The sequence below is a fragment of the Homo sapiens genome, chromosome 16 (assembly GCF_000001405.40).
Source record: "Homo sapiens chromosome 16, GRCh38.p14 Primary Assembly".
Classification (NCBI taxonomy): Eukaryota; Metazoa; Chordata; class Mammalia; order Primates; family Hominidae; genus Homo; species Homo sapiens.
Genome location: NC_000016.10, coordinates 14,726,934 through 14,740,341, shown reverse-complemented (window position 1 = coordinate 14,740,341; position 13,408 = coordinate 14,726,934). Strand labels below are relative to the sequence as shown.

Below are 13,408 nucleotides of genomic sequence, written 5' to 3'. Positions count from 1 at the left end.
GGGGTCCACCCAGGGTAGGGGAGCTATGAGCACTGGCGTCGGAGGGAGCCCAGCTTATTGGCCCAACCCCGAGATAGACCCATTTCCCAGTGGGCATAGCACTCCAAGGCTTGTCACTCACAGCCTCTGCAACTCCAAGTCTTGGTATGCCTGAAACCCATACTCCACATGAGCACACCTTCACTGAGCACCTAGTGTGGGACAGATAGGCCAGGGCTGAGCACACAAGAGGAAGGAGACGCAGACTTTGCCTTGAGGAGATCACGTTCAGGCAGGGACAGAATTACTCCAGAGTGTCGCAGGCAAAGGGACCAAAGCCTCGGATTTTCTTTTCTTTTTTTTTTTTTTAATTTTTTTGAGATGGAGTTTCACTCTTGTTTCCCAGGCTGGAGTGCAATGGCATGATCTCGGCTCACTGAAACCTCTGCCTCCTGGGTTCAAGCGATTCTCCTGCCTCAGCCTCCTGTGTAGCTGGGATTACAGGCACCCACCACCACACCCAGCTAATTTTTTGCATTTTTACTAGAGACAGGGTTTCACCATACTGGCCAGGCTGGTCTCAAATTCCTGACCTCAGGTGATCCACCTACCTAGGCCTCCTAAAGTGCTGGGATCTCAGGTGTGAGCCACCGTGCCCAGCCGTCTCCAATAGAAGGAGGCAGAGAGAGGTTTGGCACCCAACAGAAATGAGTTTAAATCTTGGTTCCCCTGGTTCTTGGCTCAAGCTTCTCTGGTGCCCAGTGCCTTCCTATGAAAGGGAATGAGAGGGGTCTGGGGTTGTGACAAAATCATGTTTCTAGTGCTGGGCAAGGTGATATGCACCTGTAATATCAGCAACTCAGGAGCCTGAGGAGGGAGGATTGCTTGAGGTCAGAAATTCAAGCCCAGGCCGGGTGTAGTGGCACACAACTGTAATCCTAGCACTTTGGGAGGCCGAGGTGGGCAGATCACCTAAGGTCAGGAGTTTGAGACCAGCCTGGCCAACGTGGTGAAATCGCAGCTCTACTAAACATACAAAAAGTAGCTGGGCATAGTGGCGGGCAGCTGTAGTCCCAGCTACTCCCAACCTGGGAGGCAGAGGTTGCAGTGAGCCAAGATCGTGCCACTGCACTGCAGCCTGGGCGACAAGAGCAAAACTCCATCTCAAAAAATAAAAAAATAATAATAAATAAAATAAATGAATAAATAAATAAAATAAAAATAAAAATAAATTCAAGCTTAGCCTGGGCAACAGGCTCAACCCCATCTCAAAAAAAAAAAAAAAAAAAAAAAAAGGCCAGGCATGGTGGCTCACACCTGTAATCTCAGCACTTTGGGAGGCCAAGGCAGGTGGATCACCTGAGGTCAGGAGTTCAAGACGAGCCTGGCCAACATGTTAAAATCCTATCTCTACTAAAAATACAAAAACTAGCTGGGCGTGGTAGCACATGCCTATAGTCCTAGCTACTTGGGAGGCTGAGGCAGGAGAATCACTGGAACCTGGAGGCAGAGGTTGCAATGAGCTGAGATCACACCACTGCACTCCAGGCTGGACATCAGAGTGAGACTCTATCTCCAAAAAAAAAAAAAAAAAAAGTAGTCAGGAAGAGACATCAACAAAAATTGGTGATGAATGGGGTAGCAGTGGCACTGGGGACCAAAAGGGAACAGATATTTTGCACTACAATTGTCATCTCGTTTCTTTTCTTTTTTTTTTGAGATGGAGTCTCCCTCTGTTGCCAGGCTGGAATACAGTGGTGCGAACTCGGCTCACTGCAACCTCCGCCTCCCGGGTTCAAGCAATTCTCCTGCCTCAGCCTCCCGAATAGCTGAGACTACAGGCACATGCCACCATGCCCAGCTAATTTTTTTATTTTTAGTAGAGACAGGGTTTCACCATTTTGATTAGGATTGTTTTGATCTCTTGACCTTCTGATCTGTCCACTTCGTCCTCCCAAAGTGCTGGGATTACAGGTGTGAGCCATCACGCCTGGCCAATTGTCATCTCTTTTCACTTTTGAGCACATATGGGTATGCTGTAAAGGAAATTTTAAAATCTCAGGATCCCAGCCCCCCATCTTCTTATGCAAAAGAGAAAGTCATTGTGACACCCTTTTCCAAATGAATAGCTGTTCCTAAGATCATGTAACAGCCAGATAGATGTCCATTCAGCAAGAAAAGGCCTCAGGCATCTGGGAAGGGCTGCGCCCCGTAGATCATTCATAAATAAATTATTTGCTGGCCTCCTATAATCAAGTACATGCCAATGTTAACTTTAGGTCTACAATCTTTTTTTTTTCTTTGAGATGGAGTCTCCCTCTGTCACCGAGGCTGGAGTGTACTTGTGCAGTCTGGGCTCACTGCAACCTCTGCCTCTCAGGCTCAAGCAATTCTCTTGCCTCAGCCACCCGAGTAGCTGGGATTATGGGCGTGTGCCTCCGCACTGGGCTAATTTTTGTATTTTTAGTACAGATGGGGTTTTGTCATGTTGGCCAGGCTGTTTTCAAACTCCTGACCTCAGGTGATCCACCCGCCTTGGCCTCCCGAAGTGCTGGAATTACAGGTGTGAGCCACTGCACCCAGCTGAGTAAATTTCTTGATTGCACAGAATGTATGGTGATATTGGTGGACTTAAGGACATTGAATTGTTTATCAGGAATAAAGTATTATGTGTGTTTTCTGGGGTCCTGGATAATGCTGTAGCATTCAGGGTAGATTGAGTAAAAAAAATGTAGAGATGGTTTCCTAGTTACTTGTTTTTGCTTCTAATTTTCATTCATTTGCTATTTATTCTCTTCTGGCTTTGCTTGTGTATGCATATATATATAACCATTATTATTATTATTATTTTTAGTTTCTAGTGGAAGGCTTTTATTTGGTTCTGTGAATAGTCATTTTGTTTCCTATGTATTTCTAGCAAGTTGTATTCATTCCATTGATCTAGAATTCCTAGGCTGCCTTCGTTGGGCCTGCAGGAATTAATGGAGCATAGCAGCTTTTTATTTTTTATATTTATTTTTTGAGACAGAGTCTCACACTGTCGCCCAGGCTGGAGTGCAATGGTACGATATCAGCTCACTGCAACCTCCACCTCAGAGGTTCAAGTGATTCTCCTGCCTCAGCCTCTGGAATAGCTGTGACTACAGGCACCCACTACCACACCTGGCTAACTTTTTGTATTTTTAGTGGAGATGGGGTTTCATCATGTTGGCCAAGCTGGTCTCAAACTCCTGACCTCAGGTGATCCATCTGCCTCGGCCTCCCAAAGTGCTGGGAGTACAGGCTTGAGCCACACCGTCCAGCGAGTATACTTTCATAAATAGAATTTGAGTCATATTTCTGTCTCTGCCTAATTTCTCCAAAATTTGTAAACTATTTGTGAATATTCTTAATTCATGACAATGTGTTTGTTGGCATACAGTCCAACAGGGTCACCAGGGCCGATCAGGGAGAGAGAGCCTAGAAACTTGACATGTTGGCACTACTGTAACTGCTCAAGGGGTTCACCTTGCCCACTGCCTAGACAGAGCCGATTCATGAAGACAGGGGAATTGTAATTGACCAACATGGTATAATCCTGTCTCTACTAAAAAAATACAAAATTAGCTGGGAATGGTGGTGGGCATCTCTAATCCCAGCTACTTGGGAGCCTGAGGCAGGAGAACCGGTTGAACTCGGGAGGCGGAGATTGCAGTGAGCCATGATCGTGCCATTGCACTTCAGCCTGGGTGACAGAAAGAAAGAAAGAAAGAAAGAAGGAAGGGAGGAAGGGAGGAAGGAAGGGAAGAAAGAGAGAGAGAAAGAAAGAAAGCTGCTAACCCAAGCAGAACAAAAAATTAATTGAATACCAAAAAAACACTTTGCTAAATTTTCATGTTAAAACAGCCGATACCAAAATTGTTTAGATAAACAGTTTGGTTTTTGTTGTTGTTGTTTGTTTTTGTTTTTTGCTTTTTGCTTTTTTGAGACGGAGTCTCAATCTGTCACCCAGGCTGGAGTGCAATGGCGTGATTTTGGCTCACTGCAACCTCTGCCTCCCAGGTTCAAGTGATTCTCGTACCTCAGCCTTCTGAGTAGCTGGGATTACAGGTGCCCACCACTATGCCTGGCTAATTTTTTTGAATTTTTAGTAGAGACGGGGTTTCACCATGTTGGTCAGGCTGGTCTTGAACTCCCAACCTCAGGTGATCCACCCGCCTTGGCATCCCAAAGTGCTGGGATTACAGGCATGAGCCACCACCCCTTTTTTGTTGTTTTTGAAACAGGGTCTCACTCTGTCGCCCAGGCTGGAGTGCAGTGGAGCAATCTCCCCTCACTGAAACCTCCTTCTCCTGGGTTCAAGGGATTCTCCCATCTCCTCCCAAGTAGCTGGGATTACAGGCTTCTGCCACCATGCCCAGCTAATTTTTTGTGGGCTCGCCCAGCCTAGGTATACAATTTGAATGAACTCCAAGGTCTAAGTCAAATTACCTATGATAACCCATTAGGTATCAGTGCTATGCACGTAAACTGGAGAAACAACTGATATTCAGAGCACGCAAGTCCGATGTTAACCATGGACTCATGGAGAATCAAGATGGTCACCTTGTCCTTCCTGACTCCTTAAAGTGTTTGTTATTAAAGGTTCTGCAGTTGGGCGTGGTAGCTCACACCTGTAATCCCAGCACTTTGGGAGGCCGAGGTGGGCAAATCACCTGAGGTCGGGAGTTCAATATCAGCCTCACCAACATGGAGAAACCCCATCTCTACTAAAAATACAAAAAATTATCCGGGCGTGGTGGCTCATGCCTGTAATCCCAGCTACTCAGGAGGCTGAGGCAGAAGAGTCGCTTGAACCCAGGAGGCGGAGGTTGCGGTGAGCCGAGATAGCGCCATTGCACTCCAACCTGGGCAACAAGAATGAAACTCTGTCTAAAAATGAAAAATAAAAGACTCTGCATTCCATGACTCATCATGGAAAAGATAAAATGATCTAAATTAAATATGTATTGGTGTGCTGAATTATAAATTGCTAAAATAGTTCATAACCAATGTTTCGTTTGTCAAATTCATGTTCCTGGGAAGACAATCAAAGCTTCAGGTGCATTTGGCTACCTCATGGGCCATTTGAACATTTCAGTTGTCAATTATCATTTTCAATGCATGTTTTCTGGTTGCTTTCCCATGCAAGAGGGCTGATATTACAACAGTAGATCATTATGGTACAGTGTATTTTCACCAGGTACTGAAAGCTTTTTATGGCTCACTGACTGGGGACAATCAATTCCTTCACAATCTAGAACCAAAGATTGGATCTTCTGAGAACATCAGAGAAAGAATGTCCTTGCCATCCACAATACAGCAAAACTTCAGGACCTTGAACTTTGGGTTCATAATCTCACAAGAGGGAAGTTTTTCGCCAGAAAAAGATGGCATCCTTGATGTGAACAGCTTTTCCCAAGATCACAGATCAAGACTTCTAGTTTTTTTTTTTGAGACAGAGTCATTTTTTTTTTTTTTTTTGAGACATAGTCTCGGTCTTGTTGCTCAGGTTGGAGTGGAATAGCGCGATCTTGGCTCACTGCAACCTCCGCCTCCTGGGTTCAAGTAATTCTCCTGACTCAGCCTCCAGAGTAGCTGGGATTACAGGCGCCCACCACCATGCCCGGCTAATTTTTTTGTATTTTTAGTGGAGACAGGGTTTCACCATGTTGGCCAGGCTGGTCTCGAACTCCTGACCTCAGGTGATCCGCCTACCTCGGCCTCCCAAAGCGCTGGGATTACAGGCATCAGTCACCGTGCCCGGCCTTGTGATAGTGTCTTACTCTGGCACCCAGGCTGGAGTGCAGTGGTGCAATCTTGGTTCACTGCAACCTTCGCCTCCCAGATTCAAGCGATTCTTGTACATCAGCCTCCCGAGCCGCTGAGACTACAGGCACGTGCCACCATGCCTGGTTAATTTTGTGTGTGTGTGTGTGTGTATGTTTGTGTGTGATGGAGTTTTGCTCTTGTTGCCCAGGCTGGAGTGCAGTGGTGCGATCTTCGCTCACTGCAACGTCTGCCTCCCGGGTTCAAGCGATTCTCCTGCCTCGGGCTCCTGAGTAGTTGGGATTATAGGCGCTCAACACCATACCCGGGGAATTTTTTGTATTTTTAGTAGAGACGGGGTTTCATCATGTTGGCCAGGTTGGTCTCCAACTCCTGACCTCAGGTGATCCACCCGCCTCGGTGTCCCAAAGTGCTGGGATTACAGGCGTGAGCCCTGTGCCCAGCCTCAGTGTCTCTCTCTCTCTCGACTAGAGAGACTGACCAGGGACAATCAACTCTCTCCAGACTGACAGAGAGAGAGACAGAGAGAGCGAGAAAGAGACAGAGTCTGGCTCTCACCCAGGCTGGAGTGCAGTGGTGTGATCTTGGCTCACTGCAACCTCTGCCTTCCGTGTTCAAGCGATTCCTGTGCCTCAGCCTCCCAAGTAGCTGGGATTATAGGTCCACACCACCACGCCCGGCTAATTTTTGTGTTTTTAGTAGAGACAGCCTCACCATGTTGGCCAGGCTGGTTTTGAACTCCTGACCTCAGGTGATCCGCCAGCCTCGGCCTTCCAAAGTGCTGGGATTACAGGCGTGAGTCACCGCGCCCGGCCAAATAAAATAAAATGTTAAAGCAAATTCAGGACTACCCCTCCTCCAAGTCTTCTGTTCCCTTTGGGCGCCCAGGTGAGCGGGGGAGGGGCTGGGGGAGTAATAACATCAAAAGAGCGCCTTTTCCTCCCTTATTCCGAGGAGACTTCCCTGGGCCTGACTCCCGGTCCTGTCCCCAGCGCCCCGCGGCCTCTGGAGCCCCTTCAGTGACCAAGATACAGAGATCAGGACGCCTTTGCGCCGCCCCAGGTGCCCGCCCCTAGCTGGCTCTGCTTGGGCCGCGAGGGAAGGTGAGGTCGGGGGCGGAGCCGGGGCGTGACAGCCGGGGTGTGTGTCCGCCGGGCTTGGTGCCTCCGGTGGCCCTGCAGCACCGTCCCACCTCTGCCACCCTCCGATGGGGCCGCTACCTGTGTGCCTGCCAATCATGCTGCTCCTGCTACTGCCGTCGCTGCTGCTGCTGCTGCTTCTACCTGGCCCCGGGTCCGGCGAGGGTGAGTGAGGAAGGGGCTTTCCCGGAACTCAGGCGTTCCGGTATTCCTCCAGCCCTTCCTAGGGACCCAGCAGCCCTGCCTCCCATCCCTCTCCAAGTTCCTAGTTGCCCTAGAGCCCCCAGCTCGCTCTTCTAATGCTCACCCACACGATGCGCCCCAGCCTTCTGCAGGGCCCCCCACTCACTCCTCCCAGGGACCCAGAACTAGCCCAGTCCTTCCCCAGGGGCGCAGAGTCCTCTCCTGGCTCCCTCCCCTAACCGGCTGTGACCCTCTCCGGCAGCCCGGAAGCCTCCCGGTTGTCCTGATCTGGGGTCCGCGAACTTACCCTTCATTCCACCTGTCCCTGAGATGTGAGACACCAGAGGGTGGGAGGAGCAGGGGCAGAAAGGGCCGGCTTGGGGGTGGGAGAAGAATATATTGTGCCCCTGTACAACAAACCCCGGTGACCAAAAACAAAACAAAACAAAACAAACAAACAAAAAAACAAAAAATAGAACATACTGTCCCTATCTCACTATCCATCCTTTGGGGTCACTGTAGAGAGGTCCCGTGGGTGACTGCCCATTTCTGGGGTGCACAGATACATGTACCCGCAGAGTACTATGCAGACACCGCCAGCACACAGATGCGCAGGCACAGGACCAGCCCCAGACTCACCTGGCCCTCAGGTGTGCGGCTCCCACAGGGAAAAATACTGACATACCGCTAGGGGGACACACGCACACACAGCTCAAGGATACCCGAGACAGCACTCAGGACAATTCAGATGCACCGTGTACACACACACACACACACACACACACACACACACACACACACACACAGAGCAGCACAGACACACATATGTGCGCATAGACCCTGGGGTCACAGGATGGACAGACAGCCCTGGCCCTCCCCCGAGGAGGCTGCAGCGGGCAGACAGGGCAAACAGACCCCAGCGTGACCTGCCACACCTATGTTGGCACAGAGGGAGTGTTTTGCTTGGTTATAAGCACAGTGCTCATGCCTGCCCCACGCCTAGAACCCTCCCTCTATAAGGCTGTTGCTAGGGCTCTGAGATACCAGAGAGTGGTCAGGGACGGTGGCAGGGGAACCTTTGGGGACAGCTTCAGGGTACGGTGTTGGGACTGGGACATTGTCAGGGTGCTCAGACAGGGCGTGTTCCCTGGGTCTTGGTGCATTTAGAGGTCAAGGGACCATTTCTGGAAGCTCACTGTGTGCCAGGGCAGCTTATATCAGAGCTCAGCTCTTTTTTTTTTTTTTTTTTGAGACAGAGTCTCACTGTTGCCCAGGCTGGAGTGCAGTGGTACGAGCTCGGCTCACTGCAACCTCCACCTCCCGGGTTCAAGCGATTCTCCTGCCTCAGCCTCCCAAGTAGCTGGGATTACAGGCGTGCACCACCATGCCCAGCTAATTATGTATTTTTCGTAGAAACAGCTTTCTCCATGTTGGTCAGGCTGGTCTGGAACTGCTCACTTCAGGTGATCTGCCCGCCTCGGACTCCCAAAGTGCTGGGATTACAGGCGTGAGCCACCGCGCCCGGCCCCAAATGCGTTTTACATTTTCTTCCTCTTTGATTCATCTTTGTCCTCCAACATAAATATGCTACTTTTTCCACTGATAAAAAGACAAAATGGAATTTCAATCTGGCCTGGACTTCTCAAAAAAGTCAGTGTGATGAAAACTGTTCTAGATAAAACAGAAATGAGACTGGGCATGGTGGCTCATGCCTGGAATCCCAGCGCCTTCGGAGGCCAAGGCAGGAGAATCACTTGAGGCCAGGAGTTTGTGAACAGCCTGGGCAACATAGTGAGACCCCATATCTACTAAAAATTTAAAAATTAGCTGGGCATGGTGGTGCATGCCCGTATGTCTGGAGACTGAGGCAGGAGGATTGCTTGAGCCCAGGATTTGGAGGCTGCAGTGAACTGATTGTGCCACTGCACTCCAGTGTGGGTGACAAAGTGAGACACTGTCTCTAAAAAAAAAAAAAAGAGAGACAAGATGATCAGGATGAGCGCAGTGGCTCATGCCTATAATCCCAGCACTTTGGGAGGCCAAACCAGGTGGATCATATGAGGTCAGGAGTTCGAGACCAGCCTGGCCAAGATGGTGAAACCCCTTTCTACTAAAAATACAAAAATTAGCTGGGTGTGGTGTCGCACGCCTGTGATCCCAGCTACTCGGGAGGCTAAGGCAGGAGAATTGCTTGAACCTGGGAGGCAGAGGTTGCTGTGAGCAAGATTAAACCACTGTGCTCCAGCCTGGGCAACAAGAATGAGACTGTGTCTCAAAAAAAAAAAAAAAAGATGATCAAACACAATGCGTCAACCTCCCAGAGCTGTATAAACCCTAACCCTAACCCAGGAAGCAGGCAAGCCTGTGTGTGAGTTTCCACTCTATTGCTGGTACTACTCGGCTCTGGCAACCCCGAAGGCCACCTTCCCCTGTTGTCACTGTGTAAGGAGGAAGGAGCACTGGTTTGCAAGTCAGAAGCCTGGGTTGAAGCCTCTGCTCGGGTTCCTGCTGGCTGTGGGAATGTGGGGTTACCTTTCCCGGCTGGCCTCGTTTCCTACATGTCCAATGCAGGGGTTCCAGTCACATGCATTGGGCACCATTACATGTCCAAGCTGTGCCAGGATCTAGAAAAATGGCTGGGCTCAGGCCAAGGGGCCTTCCTGTCTGGCAGTGAAAATAAGAGGAGATACCAAGGGCCCTGAGTCTGAGTCTGGAGGGGAAGTCATGAGCACAGGGCAGTGCCAGGGCCCGGGAGCTGCCACAGAGGAGCCCACCTTGGTGACAGACACCTGTAGGCGCGTCCGTGATGCCCAGTTCCCAACACAGGGAACTGGACAAACGTTTCATGCACGACTCTTTTTTCCCTTCTTGGCTACCTTGAGGACCTTGATTATAATAGTTAGCCTTTTTTTTTTCTTTTTTTGAGACTCTTGCTCTGTCACCCAGGTTGGAATGCAGTGGCAAAATCTTGGCTCACTGCAACCTTCATCTCTCAGGTTCAAGTGACTCTCCTTCCTCAGCCTCCCTAGTAGCTGGGATTACAGGCATGAACCACTATGCTCGGCTAATTTTTGTATTTTTACTACAGATGGGGTTTCACCATGTTGGCCAGGCTGATCTTGAACTGCTGACCTCAGGTGATCTGCCCGCCTGGGCCTCCCAAAATGTTGGGATTACAGGTGTGAGCCACTGAGCCCAGCCGGATTATAATAGCCTTTTCATGCACCAGGGGCTTTATACTCATTATCTCATTTCATTCATATGAGTTGAAGTCAGTTTATCCCCCATTTCACAGATGAGGAAACCAAGGCCCAGAGAGGTTAAGAATTTGTCCAAGGTCACACAGCCAGGAAGTAGGATTCAAACCCAGACAGCCAGGCTGTAACACCTGGGCTCTTCTCAGGCTCATGCCCTTCCCAGGGGTCTGGGAAGCCCTGACCTGCAGCCTGTCACCTTTGTTTACCCCCCAGCCTCCAGGATATTACGTGTGCACCGGCGTGGGATCCTGGAACTGGCAGGAACTGTGGGTTGTGTTGGTCCCCGAACCCCCATCGCCTATATGAAATATGGTTGCTTTTGTGGCTTGGGAGGCCATGGCCAGCCCCGCGATGCCATTGACTGGTGAGTGCATGCCTGGGACCAGGCCACAAAATCCCTCACACTCTGGGGTAGTCAAGGCTTATGAGGAAGTACCCAAAACTGAAGCTGGGGTTTGGTCCAGGGAGATCCCAGTGTGCAGTACTACTTTGCAGGCAGGCAGAGGCCTCTTGGATAACATGGCCAGTGAAGCCAGATCTTGGTACCAGCTGCCCCTTACCCTGGCCTTGAGCTGATGACGTTGCCTTAAAAACTTGGCTAGGAGCTGTGGCTCACTCCTGTAATCCCAGCACTTTGGAAGGCCGAGGTGGGCAGATCACTTGAGGTCAGGAGTTCAAGACCAGCCTGGCCAATATGGTGAAACCCCATCTGTACTAAAAATGCAAAAATTAGCTGTGTGTGGTGGCAGGCGTCTGTAATCCCAGCTACTCAGGAGACCGAGGCAGGAGAATTGCTTCAACCCAGGAGGTGGAGTTTGCAGTGAGTTGAGATTGCACCACTGCATTCCAACCTGGGTGACAGTGCGAGACCCTGTCTCAAAAGAAAAAAATAATAAAAATATAAAGTGACCAGGTGTGGTGATTCACACCTGTAATCCCACCACTTTGGGTCGAAGCAGTAATATCACTGGAGACCAGGAGTTTGAAACCAGCCTAGGCAACATAGTGAGACCCTGTCTCTATATTAAACACACACACACACACACACACACACACACACACACACACACACACACACACACAAAGGAAGCCAGACTATGCACTAGGAACTGCCCTGGGAATCCCTTTGCGTTCTCACAACAATCCCATTTCACAGATGAAGAAACCAAGGCACAGAAATATTCAGTAACGTGTCCAGGTGCGGTGGCTCACGCCTGTAATCCCAGTATTTTGGGAGGCCAAGGCAGGTGGATCACGAGGTCAGGAGTTCCAGACCAGCCTGGCCAACACGGCGAAACCCTGTCTCTACTAAAACTACAAAATTAGCCAGGCATGGTGGCGCATGCCTGTAATCCCAGCTACTCGGGAGGCTGAGGCAGGAGAATCACCTGAACCCAGGAGGTGGAGGTTGCAGTGAGCCAAGATCGTGCCATTGCACTCCAGCCTGAGTGGGATTACAGGCATGAGCCACTGAGCCTGGCCTGGTGAGCTAATTTTTAAATTTGTTATAGAGACAAGAGAGACAAGAGTTTTCTTATGTTGCCCAGGCTGGTCTCGACCCCCTGATCTCAAGTGATCCTCCCACCTTAGCCTCCCAAAGTGCTGGGATTACAGATGGGTGTCACCGCACCTGGCCTCTAAGGAGGGTTTCATTATAAACCTACCCTGAAGGGAGGGAATCCGATTTTATGAGAGGGTGTAGCCTGGTGAGGCCTGGATGACCTCCAGAGGCAGGGGCTTGTGCCTGGGCTGAGGCCTAAGGGTCAATGGGCAGACATGAAGTTGCCCCAGGCAGAGGGTACAGTGTGGGCAAAGTCAGGAAGTGGCAGGGCTTGGATCACTCCAGGAAGAGAGAGGAGTCATGTGTCACAGGAGCTCGAGACCCAGAGAGGGAGGCAGGCAGGCAGGCAGGGACCAAGCTTGGGCACAGCCAGGAAGGCAGGACAGGGCATGGTGGGGCCAATGGAATCATTACCCAAGACGGGGATTTTCAGGGAAACAGCTTAGATAAGGCCAGGTGTACAGTAGCTCCCACCTGTAATCCCAGCATTTGTGGAGGCTGAGGTAGGAGGACTGCTTGAGCCTGGGAGCTCGAGACCAGCCTAGGCAACATAGTGAGACCCCATATCCACAAAAAATTTAAAAAAGGAGTTTGTCTTCCTGTAGTAGCAGACTTGAGAGGTTGAGGTGGCAGTATCACTTGAGCCTGGGAGTTCAAGGCTAAAGTGAGCTGATTGAGCCATTGCACTCCAGCCTGAGCAACAGAGAGATACGCTGTCTCAAAGGAAATACAAATTAAAAAACCAGCCGGGCATGCTGGCGTGTGCCTGTAGTCTCAGCTACTTGGGACACTGAAGTGGGAGGATCACTTGAGCCCAGGAGTTCAAGGCTGCCGTGAGCTATGATTGTGCCACTGCAGTCCAGCCTGGGCGACAGAGAAAGACCCTGTCTCTTAAAAAAAAAAAAATCTTAGATAAGAGGATGCTGTGCCTCCCTGGGGGTCTTCAGTCACCCATAGTCCTGGCAAGAGAGGAGGGCCAGGAGAGAGCTTCACCCACCTGCTGTCCTGCCCATGTGACATCCGCAGGTGCTGCCATGGCCACGACTGTTGTTACACTCGAGCTGAGGAGGCCGGCTGCAGCCCCAAGACAGAGCGCTACTCCTGGCAGTGCGTCAATCAGAGCGTCCTGTGCGGTGAGTCCCCAGCAGCACCATGCCACCCACCCCGAGTATCCCCTGGGCATCCTGGCATAGCCAGATGACTTCCGTGCCCCTGTTGCAATAACCACTGCTTCCAAGTCTCTATAGACCACCCCTTGGGTGTATCTAATGTAAGTGATATTTATTTTATTTATTTTTTGAGTCAGTCTCGCTCTGTCACCCAGGCTAGAGTGTGCTGATGTGATCTCAGCTCACTACAACCTCTGCCTCCTGGGTTCAAGCGATTCTCATGCCTCAGCCTCCCAAGTGGCTGGGACTACAGGCATGCACCATCACGCCCAGCTAATTTTTGTATTTTTTCAGTAGAGGTGGGGTTTCACC

At 50.3% G+C, this 13,408-nt stretch overlaps 1 protein-coding gene across 2 annotated transcripts in view; it reads left to right on the top strand.

Moving 5' to 3' along the window:
* Positions 1 to 13,408, top strand: part of LOC100652777 (group 10 secretory phospholipase A2) — a 33,438-nt gene that overhangs the window by 2,154 nt on the left and 17,876 nt on the right. For both annotated transcript variants that reach the window (XM_047435004.1, XM_011522790.4), the window contains exons 2-4: positions 5,259 to 7,091; positions 10,580 to 10,730; positions 12,954 to 13,060. In XM_047435004.1, the coding sequence (XP_047290960.1) occupies positions 6,995 to 7,091; positions 10,580 to 10,730; positions 12,954 to 13,060 (355 nt within the window). In that variant the 5' untranslated portion in view covers positions 5,259 to 6,994. The remainder of the gene's footprint in view (positions 1 to 5,258; positions 7,092 to 10,579; positions 10,731 to 12,953; positions 13,061 to 13,408) is intronic.